At 41.7% G+C, this 25,664-nt stretch overlaps 1 non-coding gene and 1 pseudogene across 2 annotated transcripts, besides 2 other annotated features; one reads left to right on the top strand and one right to left on the bottom strand.

The window, feature by feature from the left end:
• Positions 606-1,477: an enhancer, noted in NCBI's record as "OCT4-NANOG-H3K27ac-H3K4me1 hESC enhancer chr5:70393075-70393946 (GRCh37/hg19 assembly coordinates)". NCBI's record gives its function as "activates a minimal SCP1, AML or CMV promoter by ChIP-STARR-seq in primed H9 embryonic stem cells {active_cell/tissue: H9 hESC(primed)}" and the evidence as "EXISTENCE:reporter gene assay evidence [ECO:0000049][PMID:30033119]".
• OCLNP1 (OCLN pseudogene 1) lies at positions 5,655-24,522 on the top strand (annotated as a pseudogene). Its single transcript, NR_026578.1, has 5 exons — positions 5,655-5,678; positions 15,733-15,948; positions 18,757-18,928; positions 22,373-22,414; positions 24,399-24,522. The product of NR_026578.1 is annotated as an OCLN pseudogene 1 (transcript).
• On the bottom strand, positions 9,990-10,093 carry SNORD13B-2 (small nucleolar RNA, C/D box 13B-2). Its single transcript, NR_145756.1, has one exon. It is a non-coding gene; the product is annotated as a small nucleolar RNA, C/D box 13B-2 (small nucleolar RNA).
• Positions 13,214-13,715: an enhancer, noted in NCBI's record as "H3K4me1 hESC enhancer chr5:70380837-70381338 (GRCh37/hg19 assembly coordinates)". NCBI's record gives its function as "activates a minimal SCP1, AML or CMV promoter by ChIP-STARR-seq in naive H9 embryonic stem cells {active_cell/tissue: H9 hESC(naive)}" and the evidence as "EXISTENCE:reporter gene assay evidence [ECO:0000049][PMID:30033119]".
• Positions 24,523-25,664: the final 1,142 nt, after the last annotated feature.

Raw genomic sequence — 25,664 nt, 5'->3', positions numbered from 1 at the left:
GCTGGCATCTGCTCGGCTTTTAGGGAGGCCTCAGGAAACTAAAATCATGGCAGAAGGTGAGCACACATGTCACATGATGAAAGCAGAAACAAGTGAGAGACAGTGGGGGGGCAGGGGGCAGGTTTCATACACTTTTAAATGACCAGATCTCACGAGAACTCAGTAACAACACAAAGGTAACACCAAGCCATGAGGGATCTGCCCCCATGATCCAAACACCTCCCACCATGCCCCATCTCCAACACTCGGGATAAAATTCAACATAAGTAGAGATAAATATCCAAACCACATCATTCCACCTCTGGCCCCTCCCAAATCTTATGTCCTTTTCACAATGCAAAATACAACCATGCCTTCCCAACAGTGCCGCAAAGTCTTAACTCATTCCAGCATTAACTCAGAAGTCCAAAGTCTCATCTGAGACAAGGCAAATCCCTGCCACCTATGAGCCTATAAAATAAAAAACAAATTATTTACTTCCAACATACAATCAGGGTTCAGGGGTTGGGGAAATATTCCCATTAGGGAAAAACCTGCCAAAAAAGGGGGCTATAGGCCCCATGCAAGTTCAAAACCCAGCATGGCAGTCATTAAATCATGAAACTCCACAATGATCTCCTTGGTTTCCATGTGGCACGCTGATATGAGGGTTGGGCTCCCAAGGCCTTGGGCAGCTCTGCTCCTATAGCTTTGCAGAGTTCAGCCTGCTGTCACAGGCTGGGTTGAGTGCCTGTGGCTTTTCCAAGTGCAGGGTACAAGCTGCCAGTGGCTCTACCATTCTGGAGAACAGTAGCCCTCTTCTCACAGCTCCACTAGGCAGTGCCCCAGTAGGGACTCTGCGTGGGGCCTTTAACCCCACATTTCCCCTCCACGCTGCCCTAGTAGAGGCTCTCTGTGAGGGCTCTGCCCCTGCAGCAGGGTTCTGCTTGGACACCCAGGCTTTTCCATACATCCTCTGAAATCCAGGCAGAGGCTACCAAGAATTCACCATTTTTGCATTCTGTGTGCCTGCAGGCTTACCACCTAATGGAAGCTGTGAAGGCTATGGCTTATGCCCTCCAAAGTAACAGCCCAAGCTGTACCTAGGCCCCTTTGAGCCCCTGCTGGAGTTGGAGCCATCTGGATGCAGGGAGCAGTGTTCTGAGGCTGCACAGGGCAACAGGGCCCTGGGCTCAGCCCAGGAAAATATTCAGTCCTCCTTGGCTTCAGGGCCTATGACAGGAGGGGCTGCCCCATAGGTCTCTGAAATGCCTTTGAGGCCTTTTCCCCATTGTCTTGGATATTACCACTTGGATCCCTTTCAGTTATGCAAATATCAGCAAGTGGTTGCTCCACAGCCTGCTTGAATTCCTTGGAGAAAATGGTTTTTTTTTTTACCACCTGGCTAGGCTGCAAAATTTCCCAACTTTTAGGCTCTGCTTCCTGTTTAAATGTAAGTTCCAAATTTAAGTCATTCATTTGCCCCCACATCTGAGCACAGGCTGTTAGTAGCAGAAGGCCACATCTTGAATGCTTTGCTGCTTAGAAATTTCTTCTGCCACATACGCTAGGTCATAGTTTTTAAGTTCAAACTTCCACAGATCCCTAGGACACAAGCAGAATGCAGCCAAGTTATTTGCTAAGGCATAACGTGTGACTTTTGCTCCAGTTCCCAATAAATTCGTTTCCTTTTGAGACCTTGTCAACCTGGACTTCACTGTCCCTATCACCATCAGCATTTTGGTCACAACCACTTATCTAGTCTCTAAGAAGTTCCAGACTTGCCGGGAGCGGTGGCTCACGCCTGTAAACCTAGCACTTTGGGAGGTCGAGGTGGGTGAATCACTTGAGGTCAGGAGTTCGAGACCAGCCTGGCCAACATGGTGAAACCCCATCCCTAATAAAATACAAAAATATTAGCCAGGCATGGTGGTGCATGCCTGTAACCCCAGCTGCTTGGGAAGCTGAGGCAGAAAAATCACTTGAACCCGGGAGGCAGAGGTTGCAGTGAGCCAAGATCACGCCACTGCACTCCAGCCTGGGCGACAGAGCAAGACTCCGTCTCAAAAAAAAAAAAAAAAAAAAAAAAAAAAAGTTCGAAACTTACCCTTATTTTCCTGTCTTCTTCTGAGCCCTGTAAACTCTTCCAGCCACTACTCATTACCCAGTTCCAAAGCTGTTTCCACATTTTCAGGTATCTTTATAGCAATGCCCAACTTCTCGGTACCAATTTCCTGTATTGGGGCATTCTTGCACTGCTATAAAGAAATACCTCAAACTGGGTAATTTACAAAGAGGTTTAATTGGCTCATGGTTCTGCAGGCTTTACAGGAAGCATGGTGCTGGCATCTGCTTGGCTTCTAGGGAGACCTCAGGAAGCTTACAGTCATGGTGGAAGGTGAAGGGGTAGCAGACACATCACATGGTAAAAGCAGGGGCAAGTGAGAGAGCTAAACTCCCGCTTTCTGATCACATATCCCAACCTGCTCCAACTCCCTAAATCCTTCCACTGTGTCTACATGGTAGAATCTCCTACATCCACAACTTCTTATGTCAACATTCCTTCTATTTCTTGATCTAACTCCTCATTCTCAAGCTTTTTTTTTAACCATGACCCACAATAATAAATTTTACATCAAAACACCATACGCACATACATACACACACATATGTGTATACACAACTGAAGTCCCACAAAAACAAACCTTACTAAAATAAAGCTATATCAGATATGATTTTATTAATAGCCAAATAAACAAAAATTCAGAAATACAAAGTTCCGTGAAAGAGTTGTTTACATGCACTGTCAACTGTTCTCTCATTCTTATGTTCTCCCCCTCCAGGATTTTACCTCCTCCATTCCACCAAAACAGCTCTTATGAGGGTCACCAATGAGCTCCACATTGCTAAATTGGTGAATACTTCTCAGTCCTCACTTTAGTTGACCCATTAGCAGCATTTGACCTATTGGCTTTCACATGGCCCATCACCCCTCTTCCTCAAAACACTGCCTTCATTTGGCTTCCAGGGCATCCCTCTTGATTTTCCTAACTCAATGAGAGCTCCTCCTTAGTCTCCTGCACTGTTTTTCCTCATATCCTATCTCTAACCACTGAGAGAACCCCAAAGTTCTCCTCTGACATCTTCTCTATTTGAATGCACTTCCTCAGCTATCTCCTCTAGTTCAACAGCTTTAAATTTACTAACTTCTACATTTCCATCTCTAGCCCAGACCTCTCCTCTGAACTATTTTTTTATTTTATAATATAGACGGGGTCTCACTTTGTTGCCCAGTCTGGTCTTGAACTCCTGGGCTCACAAGATTCTCCTGCCTTGGCCTCCCAAAGTGCTGAGATTACAGGCATGAGGCATTGCACCTGGCCGGGACTCTTTATTCACATCCAACTTCTACTAATGGGCATCTCAATTTTCACATGTTCAAAACCCAATTTCTTTCCTGCCACAAAAGTACTCCTTATGCAGACCTCCATCTCATTAAATTCTAACTTTATTTTTCCAGTTGCATAAGCCAAAAATCTTGGAGTTACACTTGACACTCCTCTTTCATACACCACATGTAGTCAATCTACTGAAAAATCCTGGTGGCTCCACTTGGAAAATATACTCAGATCCAACCACCACTACCCACACTGGCTCTAACTAGTCAGCCTGTTTCCTCCCTTCAAACCTATGGTGTATTTTCAACACAGCAATCAGAAGTCTCTTTCTATAAGTCAGATCATGCTATACCTTGGGTTCAAAACCTTTCCATGGACTCCCAGCTTAAAAAAGTAAATGCTGAAGACCTTACTATCGCTGACATATGGCCTGGCCCTTGACTACCTCTCTTAGCTCCATCTCCTTAATCTCTCCTCCTTACTTCCACTCCAGCCACGATTAACTCCTTGTTGTTCCCCAAACATGTTAAATACACTTGTGTCTTAGGGCCTTTCTATTTGTTATCTCCCTTGCCTGGGATACTCTCCCTCTAGTTGTACCTAGAACAGTTGAATCATCGCATAATTGCTAAAAGGACAAGTGACCATGTGACAACGTTCTTTCATCTTTTATGCTTGTAACACCAGAATTTACTTGAAAAAGTTTGTAAGTGGACAAGTATGAAAGACAGATATGTACACAAAGTAACAGGAAGGTAAAGATGATGTGAAAAATGAAAACCAATCCACTGAAAGTCATTCTAATTGGTATTTATAAATGTAAAAACAAAAATGTTTTGCTGTTATGTAACAAAGAATATAGCCATCATCTATCACTTCAACAAAACTATGAGCCCTAAAGTTTTCAGAAGTATTGCAGTTTGGACAGGTGTGGTGGCTCATGCCTACCGTCCCCAGCACTTTGGAAGGCAGGAAGATCACTTGAGGCCAGGTGTTCAAGGCCAGCCTGGGCAACACAGTGAGACCCTATTTCTACAAAAAATAAAAATAAATTAAAAAACAAAAAGTATTGCATTTTGACAAAGTGAGTTCATGAAGAATACAAATAATAAGGTAGAACATAGTAGAGATGCATTTGAAATCCAAAATCCGTATTTAAAGGTAGGTATGTTCCAGATTCATGCATAATGACAGCTGCTTTCAAAGGATGTAATGCCTTTTAGGTATACATAAACATTCAAAACTGGGAAAATATGGGAAAAAATGTGGGTCTCCTATATTTGGATTCTCATTAAAATTGCTAACAAAGTTAATTTTCACCATCCCTTTAGTCTTCTGTAAATTGTTTACAGACCTCATGATCCACCCGCCTCAGCCTCCCCAAGTGCTGGGATTACAGGCGTGAGCCACCGCGCCTGGCCTATTAAGGCATAATTTCTAATGCATGTTACTTTTGTAGGATGAATTCACTTACACATCAGAATGAAATAAGGAAAGTGAAAAGGGAAGGCACTGATGTTGTGTGATATATTGTGTAGGTTATTAGTAATAGAGCCATAGAGAACGTACATTAAGGGAGAATAAACAAATCTCTTATTAAAAGAGTAGAAGTCAGCTTGAACTTCTTAATTTCTTCTGTGGTTTTAACATTCCACGTTGAGAGGTGAATGGATTAAGAACTACCAGTGTGCTTTGTTCTAGATTAGTGCTTTTCCAAGTGTGGTGCACAGACAGCAACATAGCATTACCTGAGAGCTTGTTAGAAATGAAAATTCTCCTAACCGAGACCTGGCTTAGGTTAAATGAGAGTGGTCTTTCTAATGTGGGCGTGAGATAATGAGACCAGTCTTCCTAATATGGAGGTGGAAAATTGCCATAGATAATTATGAAACCTAATCACATTAGGATGAGAACTAGGTGATCAGATTTTTCTTCTTGGTAATATACTTGTTTAAACTAGCAGTAGCACTGTTTATATGTCTATTACAATGTGGATTTAACTATTAACCTGTAATGATTGCCTTTTTATTATTAGTGTTAATAGTATTTAATGGGCCACATAAATATTAGATAATGTATATAAGATAATTTTCTTCAGTGTCTTCCCCCTTTTCATTACAAGATAAATAATAACTATCTCTTGGGGTTTTTTAAGGTTAAAAATGTGTCTGCAGGCACACAGGACGTGCCTTCACCCCCATCTGACTATGTGGAAAGAGTTGACAGTCCCATGGCATACTCTTCCAATGGCAAAGTGAATGACAAGCGGTTTTATCCAGAGTCTTCCTATAAATCCACGCCGTAAGTAGCATCTCTCTTAGTTTGATAGACTGAGTGTAAAAATGAGTATTTGCATATAATTGGTTTTTGTTGTTTTTGTGCCTTTCTGCTTAAAAAAAATATCCAGCAGTGCACACAAAAGCTGGATCTGGATCTTGGTATTACAACAATCTTTGCTTTGTTGGTACAGAGGCCTACGGCTACTTGGAAGACCAGGATGAGGAGGGTGGGGTTCTATTTCCCTTCTAAGTTGAAAATGCTTCTTTTCACTTACTTGTTTGATTGAAAGGTTGGGTTGGGTTCTTTCACTCTAGGAATGTGGTTCTGCTATTTCTGGTTTTGAAGTTTAGGTGAGGGTGAGAGGAAGTTACTGAGCAGAGGTCAGTGCTGTGCTCAGCCTCTCCTTTTGCCTATAATTGTTGGATCTCATAAACAGAAGGGAGGACATTTCACATTAATCAACCCTGCCCACATACATTTCTGTTAAACTAGAAGACTTCATTTGAATCCAGGAATTGTGGTATTTCATTTGCTGTGCTAGGTCCTCAGTATTGCTGGGAGATGTGAAACCTCAGTGAACGTCTGGCCTAGGGTAGGTGTCATATGATAATTGAAATGGTATCTCTGTGGTGGAAACACTTACCCTAAAGCTCAATTCTAATTCCACCTAATGACTAGTGAGAGAAGACTATTGGAGATAATTGGTATGGACGGGGATGTAATTTTTGCCTAAGGATGATGAAGTCGTTATTTTTACATATATAGTCATGCATTGTTTAACGATGGGAATACTGAGAAGTGTGTCTTTAGGCAATTTCATCCTTGAGTGAACATCACAGTGTACTTAACACAAACCTAGATGGATAGCCTGCTACGAGCCTAGGCTATGTGGTATAGCTTCTTGCTTTTACGCTACAAATGCAGACAGCATGTTAATATACCAAATACTCTAGGCAGCGGTAATACAGTGGTATTTGTATATCTAAACACAAAAAAGGTACAGTAAATATAAAAGATAAAAAATGGTACATCTTGGCCGGGGCGGTGGCTCACGCCTATAATCCCAGCACTTTGGGAGGCCGAGGCAGGTGGATCACCTGAGGTCAGGAGTTCAAGACCAGCCTGACCAACATGGAGAAACCCCATCTCTACTAAAAATAGCCAGGCGTGGTGGCGCATGCCTGTAATCCCAGCTACGTGGGAAGGCTGAGGCAGGAGAGTCAGTTTAACCCGGGAGGCGGAGGTTGTTGTAAGTGGAGATTGTGCCATTGCACTCCAGCCTGGGCAACAAGAGCGAAGCTCCATCTAAATAAATAAATAAATGGTACATCTTGTAAGGCACTTACCATGAATGAAGCTTGTAGGACTGGAAGTTGCTCTGGGTGAGTCAGGGAGTAAGTGGTGAGTGAATGTGAAGGCCTAGGACATTACTGTACACTTTATAAACACTATACTTAGGCTACACTAAATTTACTAAACATTTTTCTTTCTTCTATAATAAATCTTAGCTTTCTATAACTTTAATTTTTTTGACTCTTTTGTAATAACACTTAAAACACAATCACATGGCTGGGTGCAGTGGCTCACGCCTGTAATCCCCACACTTTGGGAGGCCCAGGTGGACGGATCACCTGAGGTCAGGAGTTCGAGACCAGCCTGGCCAAAATGGCAAAACCCTGTCTCTACTAAAAATACAAAAATTAGCCAGGCATGGTGGCTCACACCTGTAATCTCAGCTACTCGGAAAGCTGAGGCAGGAGAATCACTTGAACCTGGGAGGCGGCGGTTACAGTGAGCTGAGATCACACCAGTGCACTCCAGCCTGCGTGACAAAGTGAAACTCTGTCTCAAAAAAAAAAAACAAAAGGCCGGACGCGGTGGCTCACCCCTGTAATCCCAGCACTTTGGGAGGCTGAGGCAGGTGGATCACGAGGTCAGGAAATTGAGACCATCCTGGCTAACAGGGTGAAACCCCGTGTCTACTAAAAGTACGAAAAACTAGCCGGGCATGGTGGCGGGTGCCTGTAGTCCCAGCTACTCGGGAGGCTGAGGCAGGAGAATGGCGTGAACCCGGGAGGTGGAGCTCCCAGTGAGCCGAGATCGCGCCACTGCACTCTAGCCTGGGCGACAAAGTGAGACTCCGTCTCAAAAACAAACAAACAAAAGAACAACAACAAAAAACACAATCACAAACCCTGGCACAGTGGTGCACACCAGCAGTCCCAGCTAATTGGGAGGCTGAGGTGGGAGGGATCATACTTGAGCCCGGGAGCTCAAATCCAGCCAAAAATAAAAGAAAAGCCAAAAATCCCATACCTACATTGTATAGATATAGAGAAGTATTTTCCTTATTCTATAAGCTTTTTTTTTTTTTTTTTTTTTTTTGGTAGAGACATGGTCTCAATCTGTCACCCAGCCTGGGGTGCAGTGGTGTGGTCACAGCTCACTGTAGCCTTGACCTCCCAGGCTCAAGCGATCTTCCCACTTTAGTCACCTAAGTAGCTGAGACTACTTAGTCACCTCAGTAGCTGGGACTACACATGTGCTCCACCATGCCCAGCTATTTTTTTCTATTTTTTTTTGTAGAGACAGGGTCTTGCTATGTTGTCCAGGCTGGTCTCAAACTCCTGGGCTCAAGCGATCTGCCTGCCTCGGCTTCACAAAGTACTGGGATTACAGGCATGAGCCACCATGCCCTGCCACCAGGCTGTTCTTAGACTCCTGACCTCAAGTGATCCTCCCACTTTGGCCTCCCAAAGTGCTGTTTTCTATTTTTACCATGTAAATTTTATTTTAGTTTCTACACTTTATTGTTAAAAACTAAGATACAGACTGGGTGCAGTGGCTTATGCCTGTAATCCCACCACTTTGGGAGGCTGCAGTGAGCTGCGATTGCACCACTGCCCTCCAGCCTGGGCAACAGAGACCCTATCTCAAAAAAAATAAAAATAAACACACACACACACACACACAAACCCAAAACTAAGATACAAACATACACATTTGCCTAGGCCTACATCAATATCACTGTCTTCCATTTCCACATCTCGTTGCACTGGAAGGTCATCAGGGCCAATAACACACCCAGAGCTGTCATCTTCCATGGTGACAGTGCCTTCTTCTGGAATACCTCCTGAAGCACCTGCCTGAGGCTCTTTTAACTTTTTTTCCTGTTTCAACTCTTTTTTTTTTTAATAAGTTGAAGGAATCTAATAAAAAATATAGTGTAAATACATAAACCAGTAGCATAGTCGTTTATTGTCAAGTATTATATACTGTACATAATTGCATTTGCTGTATACTTTTATTAGTCCCTTATTGACTGAAATGTCTTTATGACTTTGTGACTGTAATTCTAGAACTCTAAGTTCCTTTGGAGACTGAAAAAGCCCAAAAAATTTCCTTTCAGCTAGTTTGAATGTCTATGTTAAAGGTGTATCTACTGGAAATAACTTTTTTGTTACTTCGAAGTGTTTTTTTGTTTGTTTTGTTTTTGAGACGGAGTCTCACTCCGTTACCCAGGCTGGAGTGCAGTAGTGTGATCTCAGTTCACTGCAACCTCCGTCTCCTGGGTTCAAGTGATTCTCCTGCCTCAGCCTCCTCCTAGTAGCTGGGATTACAGGTGCGCGCCACCATGCCTGGCTAATTTTTGTATTTTTAGTAGAGACGGGGTTTCATGATGTTGGCCAGGTTGGTCTCGAACTCCTGACCTCAGGTGATCTACCTGTCTTGGCCTCCCAAAGTGCGGGCATTACAGGCGTGAGCCACCGCGCCTGGCCTGCTTTGAAGTTTTATCCCCAATGCCCGACTCCTGATTAGTGGGCCATGATATATGAGATTTACTCTGAGTGCATAGTTGTTTTGGTATTCAGACTTGATCTTGCTGTTGATTTCAATTGTGAATGATTTGGAGAAAGCACATTTTCTCTGTTCTTCTCTTTGGATTTTGACAAAAACTAAAGCACTTGAGAGTGTTAGGGACAAGGGTACGCAAGAGAGATGCAATCCTTCTAAGTTTTTTTTTTTCATCATTTGTTTGAGATGCTGTTTCACTCTGTCGCCCAGACCTATAGTGCAGTGGTGTGATCATAGCTCACTGTGACCTTGAACTCCTGGGCTCAAGCAGTCCTCTTGCTTCATAGCTCACTTTAGCCAGGACCACAGGTATGTGCCACTATGGCTGGCTAATTTTTTATTTTTATTTTTGTAGAGAAGGGGTCTTGCTTTGTTGCCCAGGATAGTCTTGAACTCCTGGCCTTAAGTGATCCTCCTGCCTCAGCCTCTAAAATTTTTAAGCTATGATTTGCAGAACTTTTTTTTTCTCCTTTTTCATGTCAGATGGGTAATGTGCCAATATTGTAACAAGATTTGAGGGTGGGACATTTCACACATGCGTGTGAACACCCAATCATCATGCTCATCAACTATAAAAGGACCAATTTGCAGAACTTTCATACATACAAAATGTATATCTATACTGCATCTTGGCACCAGCTGTTCCTCTAAATTGTAAGGCCTGCGTGGTTACACAGCATTCCCTGGTGTTGTCCCTTTTCACAAAAACCAGGATAGTTTCACAAATTCATTTGAAATTAATTTGAAAGTCTTATTCCTTAAGTATTAATCTTTCTTATTCTTGAATACTTTATGTAGTGGAAAATTTAAAAGGGACAAAAGGTACCAGCTAGCTAGTTCCTCTCCCCAGAGGCAACTAATGTCATCACTTTCTATTTCTCCACAGATTTTAAAACATAAAGATACTGGCCAAAGTACATTGATTCCCCCACCCCCCCTTAAAATACTAGCATACCAGAGCTGGGCACAGTGGCTCATGCCTGTAATTCCAGCACTTCGGGAGGCTGAGGTGGGTGGATTGCTTGAGCCTAGGAGTTCGAGAACACCCTGGGCATTATTGCTAAACCCCCTCTCTACAAAAAATATAAAGATTTGCCAGGTATGGTGGCACATGCCTCTAGTCCTAGCTACTTGGGAGGCTGAGGTGGGAGGATTGATTGAGCCCAGGAGGTCAAGCCTGCAGTGAGCCAAGACCGTGCCACTCCACTTCAGTCTGGGTGACAGAGTGAGACCCTGTTTCAAAAAAAAGAAAAAGAAAATATTAGCATACCAAATGTATCATTAGCAATATATTTTATCTTGGATATTGTCCATATCACTATGCAATGAGTTGCCTGATTCTGTTTTATTTTTTTAATTATAATCAAGAAGAAGCACTATTGTGTTTTATAGCTGTATAATATTCTACCAAATAGGTATACTTTATTTATTTTATTATTATTATTTTTTGAGGCAGAGTCTCGCTCCGTTGCCCAGGCTGGAGTACAGTGGCGCGATCTCGGCTCACTGCAACCTCTGCCTCCCAGGTTCAAGTGCCTCCCGAGTAGCCTGCCTTAGCCTCCTGAGTAGCTGGGATTACAGGCACCCACCACCACGCCTGGCTAATTTTTAGTAGAGATGGGGTTTTGTCATGTTGGCCAGGCTGGTCTTGAACTCCTGACCTCAACTGATCTGCCTGCTTTAGCCTCCCAAAGTGTTGGGATTACAGGCATGAGCCACCGCACCTGGCTGGTATACTTAATGTATTAATCCTATATGATGCACACTTTCCCCCAATGTTTTGTTATTACAGACCACAAATGTATAAGGAATAACCTTATACATTTATCACTTTATACATATGTGAATGTATCTGGAGGCAGAATTGCTGAGCTAAAATAAATGTGCATTTTTTCATTTTGATAGATGTAGTAAAAGTTTTATTTCTTAAGGATTGTACTAGTTTCTACTCCAAACTTATGCCCCAGAATTTTTTTTGAAGGTCTGGAAAGTGCAAACACGATGCTTCATTTTAGAACCCAGATGAATGGGTGAATGGGAGTGGTACTAAGAGATACTAATGCACAATATCTCCCCCAGAGCATGGTAATGATGGAAGGATTTTACAGCCTCTGGGGGGCAATAGAAATTGTAAAGTGTTGTTCATAGTAGAGTACTGAGTGCTATAGAGGATTCAGAGGACACCCACTTGAATGGGAATAAGAACACATAAGTCATAGCCTGTCTTTCCTAAGGCATTCTTGCAAGTGCTTAGTAACCCATGAGCACCTCTCTTCCTCACCATGCTAGTGGATAGAGAAGGAATTAGATGGAGAACATTGTGTCCATCCACCCATCCGTGCCAAGGATGAGGTAAATCAGTATTAAGATGTTTTTTTCTCCCAACGCGTAATGTACATTCCATAAAAAGAGCACTAATCTTGAGTATACAGCTTGATGAGTTTTCCCATCTATGACCACTTAACTCCCACCACCAAGATACATTTTGAGCCCTACATAAGGTCCCCATGTGCCCTTTCTCCATCAATACCCACCCACACCCACCCCAAGGTAACAGCTATTTTGATGTCTGTCACCATCTGTTAGTGAACGTGTTATTATTGGACTTTAAATAAAATGGAATAATGCAGTTTACTCTCATATCTGGTTCCTTTTGCTTATAATGTCCCATACCTTAGAATTTTAAGGCAGTCAGCTCTGAGAATTAATCCTGCATCAGGGGACACCAGAATTTAGCTGAAGATGGTTGCCTCTCCAAACCTACTAAACGAACTTGGGAGAGCCCTATTAGGTACACTCTCCACTATCCTGTCCACACCCAGGTTGAATTACCCTTCATAAATCAAGGAAGTTGAATGTTGCTGCAATGCAAAGCTTTCAAAGAAGGCTGACTCCTTGCATTGCTAAATGAGACCATTGTTTGGTAGTAATAGGCTGGTAGGATGATGTTAGGACTTTTATGCAAGTTAGAGGAGTTATAGAAGCCCAGTTTAAACTAGTTTAAGATGGGGCATGGTGGTTCAGGCTGATAATCCCAGCACTTTGGGAGGCCAATGAGGTGGGAAGATTGCTTGAGGCCAGGAGTTTGAGACCTGCCTGGGCAACATAGGGAGACCCTGTCTCAATTAAAAAAAAAAAAATCATGAAAAAAAATAGCTTAAGTGAAAGGAGGAATTATCTGAGTCACGTGAGGCCCAAGGACGTCTGTAGCTTCAGTCATGGCATAATCGAAGGATTCAGAAGATAGCAGGGCTGTTATGTGCTCTCTTTCATCTGTCGGTATGTTGGCTTTCTTCTCAGTTCAGCTTCTGTTGTGACAGGATAGCCATCTACATTTATTTATTTATTTATTTTTACTTTTTAGAGATAGGGTCTCACTGTTTCACACAGGCTGGAGTCCAGTGGTGTGATCATAGCTCACTGAATCCTCAAATTCCTGCACTCAAGTGATCCTTCTGCCTCAGCCTCCTGAGTAGCTAGTACTACAGGTGCATGCAACCATGCCTGGGTTTTTTTTGTTGTTTTTGGTTTTTTTGAAATGGAGTCTTGCTCTGTCATCCAGGCTGGAATGTGTTGGTGCAATCTTGGCTCATTGCAACCTCTACCTCCCAGGTTCAAGCGATCCTCCCACCTCAGCCTCCTGAGTAGCTGGGATCACAGGCTTGCACCACCATGCTCAGCTAATTTTTGTATTTTTAGTAGAGACAGGGGTTTCAACATGTTGGCCAGATCGGTCTCAAACTCCTAACCTCAAGTGATCCCCCTGCCTCAGCCTCCCAAAGTGCTGGGATTATACAAGTGTGAGCTACCGCACCTGGCCGGCTTGTTCTTTTTATTCTTCAGTCATTTGTTTTATTCTCTCTCACACTCCTTCACGCTGCCTTTATTGCTCCTACCTTGCCCTGACTCTCAGCAGAATTGTTGTGCACTTTCCTCCACCCCTGTTTTGCAGCCTCCGTGAGAACATGGACCTGGTCTTCCCAGGGTCACCTGGCTCAGTACTCTATGCATGTCAGGTGTTCAGGACAATTACTGAATTGAAAACACATGCATAAGAATCCTTCTTTTCTGATTACACACAGCATCAGTGAAGGCAGAGAAACAACCCATGATCAACAATGCCATGACTATTAGAATGACGTTTGTTGTACACACTGTATTTTAGAGCTGCTACCATTATTGGGAGGCATATCTAAGTCTTGCTAATCAGAGAACATTCTCCTGGCTTCAAGGATGACAGTGACCCAAAAAGGGCCAATCAGAATCTTTTTGCTATGTAAGCTTTGGGAAAGAAAACTTCATGCTGGGCTGGAAAGATCAACGCAGCTTGGGAAATGTGGAAGGCTCAGCCTGGGCAACAGAGTGAGACCCTGTCTCTACAAAAAAATTAAAAATTAGCCCAGTGTGGTGTTGCTCACACCTGTAGTCAATACTTTTCTTGTGAAACATTTTGCTTTTAGCTTTCATGCTAGATCAAGTATGTTAATATTTTAAAGGGGTGTAGGAGGAGGGGAGGAAAACTTCGAAGTTAAAGATATATCAATATCTAATATCATAAAAATTCTGGCAGGAGGCCTACTTTGATGTTTTACTTTTTGTTTTTATGTTTTTTTCTAATTTCTTTTGCCCTTTAGTTCCCTCCCTCTTTGGCCCCACCCCTAAAATGAATCCACTGCATTCTAAAGGTTTTGTTTTTCTACCTCAAAGAAGAGGCATAGTACCTGGCAGTTTTGGCAGAGTGTCTAGGAACTTGTTAATCATTGACTCATGGAGAAAGTCACATTTTCTCTCCATTAGAAGTAACATTAGCATAGCACACAAAGCCATATTACCTGAATAATTTTTTTTTTTTTTAGACAGAATCTCATTCTGTTACCCAGGGTGGAGTGCAGTGGTGCGATCTCAGCTCACTGCATTCTCTGCCTCCTGGGTTCAAGCAATTCTTCTGCCTCAGCCTCCCGAGTAGCTGGGATTACAGATGCCTGCCACAGTGCACTAATTTTTGTATTTTTTGTAGAGATGGGGTTTCACCATGTTGGCCAGGCCGATCTTGAACTCCTGGCCTCAAGTGATTCGCCCACCTCGGCCTCCCAAAGTGCTGAGATTACAGGTGTGAGCCACCGCCTCCGGCCATAAATCTTGAAAGAAGAAATAAATACTACCCCCACCTGCATCTACACACACATACCCCAAAGTTTAGAGTCTGCAAGAAATTGTGTGCTTAGAAATCTAAGACTCTGACAACAGTTACAGCAAAGCACATGTGGATCACCTAGAAAAGGGACTAAACCTGGAAGAGCTCAGTATGATAGTTTATGTAAATTGGCAGCAAAAAGAAACGCTTCAGACATTTTAAATAGTTGATTGGAATGGCAAGGCTGATGCTTGGAAAGTCTTAGGCCCATTCTTTGGTGTTTTCATTTCTGTTCTTGCCCTTTTCTACAAGAAAATGAAACTTCGTATTTCTTTTACTCAGAAGTAGTTCCCACTTTCAACTTTGGTATTTTATTCCTCAGTTAGGGTTATTTTCATGTTTGTGTCCGAAACATGCAATTGTGATGCAACTTTAAATAATTGTATTAGAAGAAAATAGTAAGTGTGTAATGGTAACCCTTCTATTCATTCTACGTGGCTTCAGGATTAACAGCAATTTTAAAAAGAATCCTAAAGGAACTCTTTAATTTATTGCAATGTAAAGCTTTTTACTTTTTTAGTTTAGATATTTAGTTTATTTTGCAAGATTTTATCTTAATATGATAATTGATATATGGTAGTATAAGATCAATATTACAAAGAGCATGTGTGCATTCTTCCCCATGCAGCATTCCAGGGAACTAGAAGAGCCTGTAGAAAAGAATGATCACTGTTTTCCTGACAGCCTTTGTAGAGTAAGTCCCTGGCACAGGTCAAGTAAACACCTCTTATAGATCAGCCTGAACTTTTTAAAATGAAATCTGAGATCCATTGTACTTAGAAGGTATAAAAATGGCTACTCCCCTTTAAATTGGAACCTACTACTTGTGTGTATTAGAGGACTCTGAACTGCTGTCAAATTGAATGCAGAAAACGAGGCATCTGCTCAGTGTTGAACATCTGAAGTCCTCGCGTGAGTGCACCTGCGTGCAGATGTCTGCTGGTGTTTATTATGGCTGTGCTCTGTGATTACAGTGCACTGGCAAAGGGCTGTAGTGTACTGAACAATGATGCCTGTTTTTATTAGGGTTCCTGAAGTGGTTCAGGAGCTTCCATTAACTTCGCCTGTGGATGACTTCAGGCAGCCTCGTTACAGCAGCGGTGGTAACTTTGAGACACCTTCAAAAAGAGCACCTGCAAAGGGAAGAGCAGGAAGGTCAAAGAGAACAGAGCAAGATCACTATGAGACAGACTACACAACTGGTGGCGAGTCCTGTGATGAGCTGGAGGAGGACTGGATCAGGTACCGACTCAGCTCTCCTTTCCTGGCCCACGTGCTCCTTCTGATAATTAAAGGAGACCAACCAGGTGTTGGAGTTATTGCCTCCCAAATTGAGGTCACTGGTGTAATTTCATTCTTTGCCAACCAGGACTGGAGACAGTTTTTTGTGTGGTGTTGGCTGGTTTTTTCCTTAGCACCCTTTTGTGACAAAGTTTGAAGTGGAGAGAATGTTTGGCAGTAACCATGTCTTTGAACTTTGGCAGTAACCACTTTGAACTTTCCACAGTGTGGCTGGTGAACTTCACCAGTGCTCTTTCTTATACCAATAGTCACGGAAGAAAGATGTCCTAGCACTTTGGGAGGCTAAGGCTAAGAGTTCAAGACCAGCCAGGCATAGTGGTGTGGGCCTGTAGTTCCAGCTACTCGGGAGGCTGAGGCTGAGGCAGGAGGATTGCTTAAGCCCAGGAGTTCAAGGCTGCAGTGAGCTATAATTGCATCATTGCACCCCAGGCTGGGTGATAGAGCTAGACCCTATCTCAAAAAACAACCAAAGGCCTTTCAAATAAATAAAATCCAGGTATAGAAGAACTTTGTTTTACTAATTATAAAATTCCCAAACCAGTGCTATGGTTTTCCTTTGGCATTACTTTTTTTTTTTGAGACGGAGTCTTGCTCTGTCGCCCAGGCTGGAGTGCAATGGCACGATCTCGGCTCGGTGCAACCTCTGCCTTCCGGGTTCAAGCAATTCCTGCCTCAGCCTACCAAGTAGCTGGGATTACAGGCGCCCACCACCATGCCCGGCTAATTATTGTATTTTTAGTAGAGACGGGTTTCACCATGTTGGCCAGGCTGATCTTGAAAATCCTGACCTCAGATGATCTCCCTGCCTCGGCCTCCCAAAGTGCTGGGATTACAGGAGTGAGCCACCGCGCCTGGCCGGCAATTATTTTTTAAATTAAGCTTAAAATGATAAGACGAGAGTTTCTTTTAAAGTTTAATCCAAAGAGTTCCGTAAACAATTGAGGTAACAATTTAGTGTTCAGCCACAGTTGTGGTTAAGTTTCTTTGTGTTTTGGTGGTTTTGTTACAATCCATCCACCATCACCAAATGTATTTGTGTATGATGTGTAGCCTTCCTATGCCCAAGTATTCTGAGGACTAAGACGCACATCAGAAACATTTGCAATGTGAATGGTAATCAAAACATCGCTTCTCAGAGAGTGAGGAATGATAGGCGGGGCATGGGTAGCTTGAGATCCCCTATTCACTGATGATTCTGATACTTTATCTTCCCCTCTCCCCTCAAGAGTTTTTGGCCTGGCTTAGCCATCTATCTGTAAAATATTCACCTAACTTGTATCACGGAAGATTTAACTGAAAACTTTATATATTTTTTTGAGATAGAGTCTCACGCTGTTGCCCAGGCTGGAGTGCAGTGGCACGATCTTGGCTCACTGCAACCTCCGCCTCCCAGGTTCAAGCAATCCTCCTGCCTCAGCCTCCCGAAGAGCTGGGATTACAGGCATGCGCCACCACACCCGGCTAATTTTTGTAGTTTTAATAGAGACAGGGTTTCACCATGTTGGCTGGGCTGGTCTCAAACTCCTGACCTCAGGTGATCCACCCACCTCGGCCTCCCAAAGTGCTGGGATTACAGGGGTGAGCTACCATGCCCAGCCTGAAAATTTTCAAAATCTGAAATTCTTGTTTCCCTTTTGATCAAATCATTTAAATTTCTCCCCTCTGTAAAATGAAGATGTTAGATTGTTAGATCTAAAATTTGAAATTCCACATCATTGTGAAACTCCAGTCCTGTGAAAGGATTCAGAGTATTTTCTCTATGGATTATGGGTTAATGGCATCGTCTTCCTATGTAAGGAGTGGCTGGTATATTGAGAAATAGGTGTGATACAAAATTTCAGTTTTTCTTCTTTATACTTTAATGAATTGCCAGATTATTTTAACAGTGAGCACATGTTTTTATACATGTACATTTTTAATGTCTATTTTTATTGTGAAAGAAGTAGATAAGCTATTTCCACTTCGGAAAAACAAGAGCAAAAAATAAATAAACCAGTCTGAAAACTATGGGTGGTAGCAGGAAACAGCCACTTCCAGTCAGCTGTGCTGCCACTGTGGTGATCAAAGCGGACTTTGTGTTCCAGAATTCCAGTTTTAAGACTTTAAACAGGCCAGGCATGGTGGCTCACTCCTGTAATCCCAGCACTTTGGGAGGCTGAGGCAGGTGGATCACCTGAGGTCAGGAGTTTGAGACTAGCCTGGCCAACATGGTGAAACCCTGTCTCTACTAAAATACAAAAATTAGCCGGGCGTGGTGGCAGGCACCTGTAATCCCAGCTACTGTGGAGACTGAGGCACGAAAATCGCTTGAACCCGGGAGGTGGAGGTTGCAGTGAGCCGAGATTGTGCCACTGCACTCCATCCTGGGTGACAGAGCAGGCTTTGTCTCAAAAAAAAAAAAAAAGAAAAGAAAAACTTTATAAACATAAGTAGTCCATTATTGATATTGTGTATGGGAAATAAGTGAGTTCCTATGACTTGTACCTTCAATTTTGTAAATGATTTTCAAAATTATTTCTGCAAATTACGTAGGCATAGTTTTTATTTTTTAAAAAATGAGCAGTAATATATAGTCACTCTTAATAGAACTTATTTGTATTCTCTCTCTCTTTCCCCGTAAGAAACAAAAACGAAACAAGAAAATGTCATTCTCCATACCCAACCAGCTTTATTATCTTTGAGGAAGGAGCATTGAATTTTATGTCTGCTAAGGATACATATGTAGTCATTTTCTCTCTCACCTTTTAGGGAATATCCACCTATCACTTCAGATCAACAAAGACAACTGTACAAGAGGAATTTTGACACTGGCCTACAGGAATACAAGAGCTTACAATCAGAACTTGATGAGATCAATAAAGAACTCTCCCGTTTGGATAAAGAATTGGATGACTATAGAGAAGAAAGTGAAGAGTACATGGTAAATTCAACCTGATATTTATATATTAAACAGAATTTGAATCTAATCTGTGGAGGTACAGCATCCTTTATATTAATGTTGATAAAAATGTGCTAGTAGTTATCAAACTGCAGTTTCATTGAAGAATAGTTGAGATTGGGTTTTGGATGAAATTCTTTCCTAATAGAAGATTGTACTAATGTATAATAGTTAATAATTACAAAGCACTATTCTGTTTTTTTTTTTTTTTTTGAGGTGGAGTCTCGTTCTGTTGCCCAGGCTGGAGTGCAGTGGCGTGATCTCAGCTAACTGCAAGCTCTGCCTCCCGGGTTCACGCCATTCTCCTGACTCAGCCTCCCAAGTAGCTGGGATTACAGGTGTCCGCCACCACGCCCGGCTAATTTTTTGTATTTTTTTTTTTTTTAGTAGAGACGGGGTTTCACCATGTTAGCCAGGATGGTCTCGATCTCCTGACCTCGTGATCTGCCCGTCTTAGCCTCCCAAAGTGCTGGGATTACAGGCGTGAGCCACCGCGCCCAGCCCCTACAAAGCACTATTCTATGTACATCTATCCTTTCCTATTTAAAATAAAATAGCCAGGCTGGGCATGGTGGCTCATGGCTATAATCCCCACACTTTGAGAGGCCAAGGCAAGTGGATCACCTGAGGTCAGGAGTTAGAGAATAGCGTGCCTAACATGGTGAAACCCCATCTCTACTAAAAATACAAAAAATAGCAGGGCATGGTGGCAGACACCTGTAATCCCAGCTACTCGGGGAGGCTGAGACAGGAGAATTGCTTGAACCCGGGATGGGGGAGGTTGCAGTGAGCCAAGATTGCGCCATTGCACTCCAGCCTGGGCGACAGAGTGAGACTCCATCTCAAAAATTAATAATAATAATAATAAAATAGCCTTATTATCTTTCCTATTTATAAAGCCATTCATTCTTTCTGTAGAAAAGAACTTAAGCGGCCGGGCACGGTGGCTAATGCCTGTAATCCCAGCACTTTGGGAGGCCGAGGTGGGTGGATCATGAGGTCAGGAGATCGAGACCATCCTGGCTAACACAGTGAAACCCCGTCTCTACTAAAAAAAAAAAAAAAATACAAAAAATTAGCCAGGTATGGTGGCGGGTACTTGTAGTCCCAGCTACTTGGGAGGCTGAGGCAGGAGAATGGTGTGAATCCAGGAGGCGGAGCTTGCAGTGAGCCAAGATCGCGCCACTGCACTCCAGCCTGAGTGACAGAGTGAGACTCCATCTCAAAAAAAAAAAAAAAAAAAAAAAGAACTTAACACAGAACTGTATACAGAAAAAGAAATCATCTTAAATCCTACCATCAAGAAATCCTTATCACCAAAATATTAGTTAAAACAATCTCTCCAAGCAGGAGTCACCAAGGCACATACACCTTTCTTTAAGGAAACATCATCTTCCATGTTTCACTTATTTTCTTCCTGTCTTTTAAATCAACAGTTTATGGGTTTTTTTTTTCCCTCCCTTGATCACCTGGCTGAGATAGAATTTGTCCATGTAAAGTTACTGGATTTTTTTTTCAATCCATCCTTTTCATACTGTATTTTGTATACATACTGAAATTAATGTAGTTACACCACCTTTTAGAGGGAGATTAATCTCTTCTTGTTAATTTGTTCCTTTATTGATCAGTCAATCACTTACGTAAGTATGGACTTTACAGATACCTGTTTTATACTGTGAATTATAATCCAAGGCTGCTTTATTTTGTAGCTCTAATTGTTCTCGCTTTGACCGTTGGGAACTTTCAGTTGCTTCCCGTGTCCCTTTGACATACTCTTATTGTGGGGTTTTATCTTTAAAAAAAAAAACAAACAAAAAAACTTCCTTGCACTGCTTATTTCTGTCTTTTCTTAACAGCAAGTTTTTTTTTTTATATCAATAATAAAGACCTACTTACTTTTAAGTTTTTTATGTGTAAAATTAGGTAAACAACTTTCAAATTTATGGTTGTATCATAATTTAAGAGTCATTTTCTATGGATAGACATTTAAGTATGTCTCCCCCTACTCCAGTAGTACCAGTATATACTGGTGAACCTCTCTGTTTTTGCACTCTTGTCTACTTATCTAATTTTTTTTTTTTTTTTTTTTTTTGAGACGGAGTCTTGCTCTGTCGCCCAGGCTGGAGTGCAGTGGCGCTATCTTGGCTCACTGCAACCTTCGCCTCCTAGGTTCAAGTGATTCTCCCGCCTCAGCCTCCCGAGTAGCTGGGATTACAGGCATGTGGCACCACACCTGACTAATTTTTGTATTTTTAGTAGAGACGGGGTTTTGCCATGTTGGTCAGGCTAGCCTCGAACTCCTGACCTCAGGTGATCTGCCTGCCTCGGCCTCCCAAAGTGCTGGAATTACGTGTGTGAGCCACAGCGCCCAGCCTGCTTATCTAACTAAAACTAATTCCAGAATGTGAAATTGCTGAGAGTCAGAGGGTACGTACCTTTGCAAAGTTGCAAAATTGCCCTCCAGAGAGACTGCACCAACTGTGTCTCCCTCTTGATACAATACAGGACTCATTTGATGCACATCTCATTAAATATTCTGCCATTTTTCAGTTGAGGTGATCTACTTTTTAGTTTTGACGTATTCACATCTTTATATAGTTAGATTTATGTATTTCTTTTATGGTTTCTATAGGGTGTTATAGATCTTTCTTAATTTAGTGAACATTTATTGATCACTTATTTTTCTTTGATGATGTGGAAATGCTGGAGCTAGAGACATAAAATCTTGTCCCCACCCTAAAAGAGCTTATATTTTAAGAAAAAAAACCTGACATCTAAACAATTTAGACAGTATGATTAATGCTGTATTTGCATCATGTGTAGAAAGCACTATAACTAACTGCTCATAGAAGAAATAAAGTCTTTGGAGGCTTCACAGTGAGGGAATCGTTAAGAGCTTTCCAGACAGAAGGGTGCGGGGAGGTGCATGATTACAGCCATAAGGAAAACATGATTGAAATCCTGAAGCATTTAACATGTCTCAGTTTTTAAAGGAGTTGCTGATGATGGGTACTGAGACTGGAAAGGTAGGAAACTGGATGAGGGGAGAAGTTAATGGGAAGCTCAGACCAGTTGTGTAGTGGGATATTACCTGATCAGCGAGCGCTCTGTGTTATAAAAGATCTTCCTGGTGTCAGTGTAGCATGGGGACTGGCATGAGGAGAGATGAGAAGTAGCAGAACAGATAGTTACCTGCCTATGTGAGTGAAATGTGAAAGATACAGTATCATAAATGTCTCTTCACTGAATTCCTTCAGACCTTCCTGCTGATCATGAGTTTTAAGAGCTTTACGACTTCATTCTTTTAATTGCTTATATTTTTGTCATAAGCTGTCATTTTTAGCTCCAAAGTATAACATCAGGAATGTTACTTTTAAAAGAGAAAATGCCCCAGTAAACATATTCCTTTGTGTCTGTCGTTAATAGGCTGCTGCTGATGAATACAATAGACTGAAGCAAGTGAAGGGAGTAAGTATCCGAGATTGTTCTTTTAGGAAGAACTTTCTTTCTTCTTCTTTTTATTTTAATTCCCATACCTACTCATCTGGAGGAAGAGCTTTTCTATTACATGTTTTTCATTTTTTATTTTATATATTTTTTAAAAGTTGAAGTATACATACAGAAAAGTGTATAAATCAAAGTGTATAACATGGTGAATTTTCACAATGTGACCACATACCTGCGTATGCAGATCAAGAAATATATTTCCCAGTACCTCCCCACCCCCAGCACCCCCACCCTCACTTGTACTACTTTCCAGTGTTTACACTCTCTCCAGAGGGGTCCATCATGCTCACTTCTAACATCATAGAGTTTTGTCTATCTTGCACATTACATAAATGGAACCACACAGTATGTATTTTGTGTGTGATTTCTTTTGCTCAGTATAGTGTTTGTAAGGGTCCATTTGTAGTTCATTACTATTATTTTTTTTAGACGGAGTCTTGCTCTGTTGCCCAGGATGGAGTGCAGTGGCGCAGTCTCAGCTCACTGCAACTTCCGCCTCCCAGGTTCAAGCAATTCTCCTGCCTCAGCCTAGCTGGGATTGCAAGCACGCACCACCATGCCTGGCTAATTTTTGTATTTTTAGTAAAGACATGGTTTCACCACATTGGCCAGGCTGGTCTTGAACTCCCAACCTCAGGTGATCCCCCTGCCTTGGCCTCACAAAGTGCTGGGATTACATGCATGAGCCACCATGCCCGGCCATGGTTCATTAATTTTTTTTTTTTTCCTGAGACAGTGTCTCGCTCTGTCGCCCAGGCTGGAGTGCAGTGGCACAATCTCGGCTCACTGCAACCTCTGCCTCCTGGGTTCAAGCAATTCTCCTGCCTCAGCCTCCCGAGCCACTGGGATTACAGGCAAGCACCACCACACCTGGCTAATTTTCCTATTTTTAGTAGAGATGGGGTTTTACCATGTTGGCCAGGCAGGTCTCAAATTCCTGGCCTCAAGTGATCCACCTGCCTCGGCCTCCGAAAGTGCTGGGATTACAGGCGTGAGCCACCACGCCTGGCCGGTTGATTAATTTTTATTGCTTTGTAGTGTTGTATATAAAATGCAACTTTATTCATCCATTCTATTGTCAATGAACGTTTGGGTTGTTCCCAATTTTTGGCATTTAAAAATATTGCAGCTTCATACATATTTGTAAATGTTTGAGCGTAGAAGTGATGGGCATTTGTCTATCCAGCCTTAGTAGATACTGTCAAATGGCCTTCCAAAGTACTTGTACCAGTTTACATTCCCACCAACCACTACAGACTCCTGTTGCCCTATATCCTTGCTAACACTTGGCATGACAGTCATTATTGACTTAAAACATTAAAAAAAAATTATATTAAAATTTTTGTAAATTACTTATCCAGGTGCTGTGGTTACATGCCTGTAGTCCTAGCTACTAGGGAGACTGAGGCAAAAGGATCCCTTGAACCCAGGAGTTCAAAGCTGCAGGGAGCTATAATTGTACCACTTCACTCCAGCCTGGGCAATAGGATGAGACCCTTTCTAAAATAAGAAAAAAAAATTATAAATTACAGGCATCATGATTTGAAATAAGAGTTTAAAGGGTATACAGTAAAATTTCCCATCTCTCTTATCCCCTATTCAGCTTCCCTTTCCCCAGTCAAATGAGATCACCAGTCTCTTGTTTTACTTACAGTTTTAGATGATGTGTTAGCAAAAAGGCTGGTAAGTTTTCTTGGTCATTTTACAGATTTTTAGAAATGAGGGTATCCTTTGGAAAAACCCAGGTTAGAAGACAGAACTGAGCAAATAGAATCAGCTGCCTGTGTGGTTAGTGATACTGCCAGGCACCTTGCGTATTTTACTTCAATTAACACTCCCAGCAATTCTCTTGACTAAATATTCCATTTCTGTGTTCAATTCTGCCTTCCCAGCAGACCTGTTTTCATTTTGTTGAATTTATGTGATTCATTTTCTCCCTTTTTAGTCTGCAGATTACAAAAGTAAGAAGAATCATTGCAAGCAGTTAAACAGCAAATTGTCACACATCAAGAAGATGGTTGGAGACTATGATAGACAGAAAACATAGAAGGCTGATGCCAAGTTGTTTGAGAAATTAAGTATCTGACATCTCTGCAATCTTCTCAGAAGGCAAATGACTTTGGACCATAACCCCGGAAGCCAAACCTCTGTGAGCATCACAGTTTTGGTTGCTTTAATATCATCAGTATTGAAGCATTTTATAAATCGCTTTTGATAATCAACTGGGCTGAACACTCCAATTAAGGATTTTATGCTTTAAACATTGGTTCTTGTATTAAGAATGAAATACTGTTTGAGGTTTTTAAGCCTTAAAGGAAGGTTCTGGTGTGAACTAAACTTTCACACCCCAGACGATGTCTTCATACCTACATGTATTTGTTTGCATAGGTGATCTCATTTAATCCTCTCAACCACCTTTCAGATAACTGTTATTTATAATCACTTTTTTCCACATAAGGAAACTGGGTTCCTGCAATGAAGTCTCTGAAGTGAAACTGCTTGTTTCCTAGCACACACTTTTGGTTAAGTCTGTTTTATGACTTCATTAATAATAAATTCCCTGGCCTTTCATATTTTAGCTACTATATATGTGATGATCTACCAGCCTCCCTATTTTTTTTCTGTTATATAAATGGTTAAAAGAGGTTTTTCTTAAATAATAAAGATCATGTAAAAGTAACAAATGTGTGAAATTTAAAGATTGTAAATATATATTTACTTTTTTAAGATCAAAGTTTAAACCCGGTGGTTAGAATTTTGTGTGTTTTTAAATACTTTTTATCTTTTTGCATGCCTTTTTTTAAAAACCAACTAGAACTTTTCATTATATCAGAATATCTGATTACATTTATAATTCAATTGTGACTTGAACTGTATCTTACAGGAATGTTCAATTTCTATACATATTTTATAAGGTATTAAACCTGGTGTTTTCTTTCCATAATAACCTGTTTGATGTTATTAGTGCTGTTAACACACAGCAATGGAAAACCACACTCAGGAGTTGTATCTGTTGTTGTTTATACTCCTTTGGATGCTGTGCTGGTTAGTCGTTTCCCATTCCTTTGGCTGTAAGAATGCTGATATGTCTGGGAATAGAATGCTATACCACGAAATACCAAATAATTTCAAATGGTGCCCTTAAATTGTATCACTTTTTTAAAAATTCAGATTCTTATTAGTAAAATTACTTGATAGCACTGTGCTGACC

This window comes from Homo sapiens, chromosome 5 (genome assembly GCF_000001405.40).
Source record: "Homo sapiens chromosome 5, GRCh38.p14 Primary Assembly".
Taxonomy (NCBI): Eukaryota; Metazoa; Chordata; class Mammalia; order Primates; family Hominidae; genus Homo; species Homo sapiens.
This window is presented reverse-complemented; position numbering and strand designations above follow the sequence as displayed.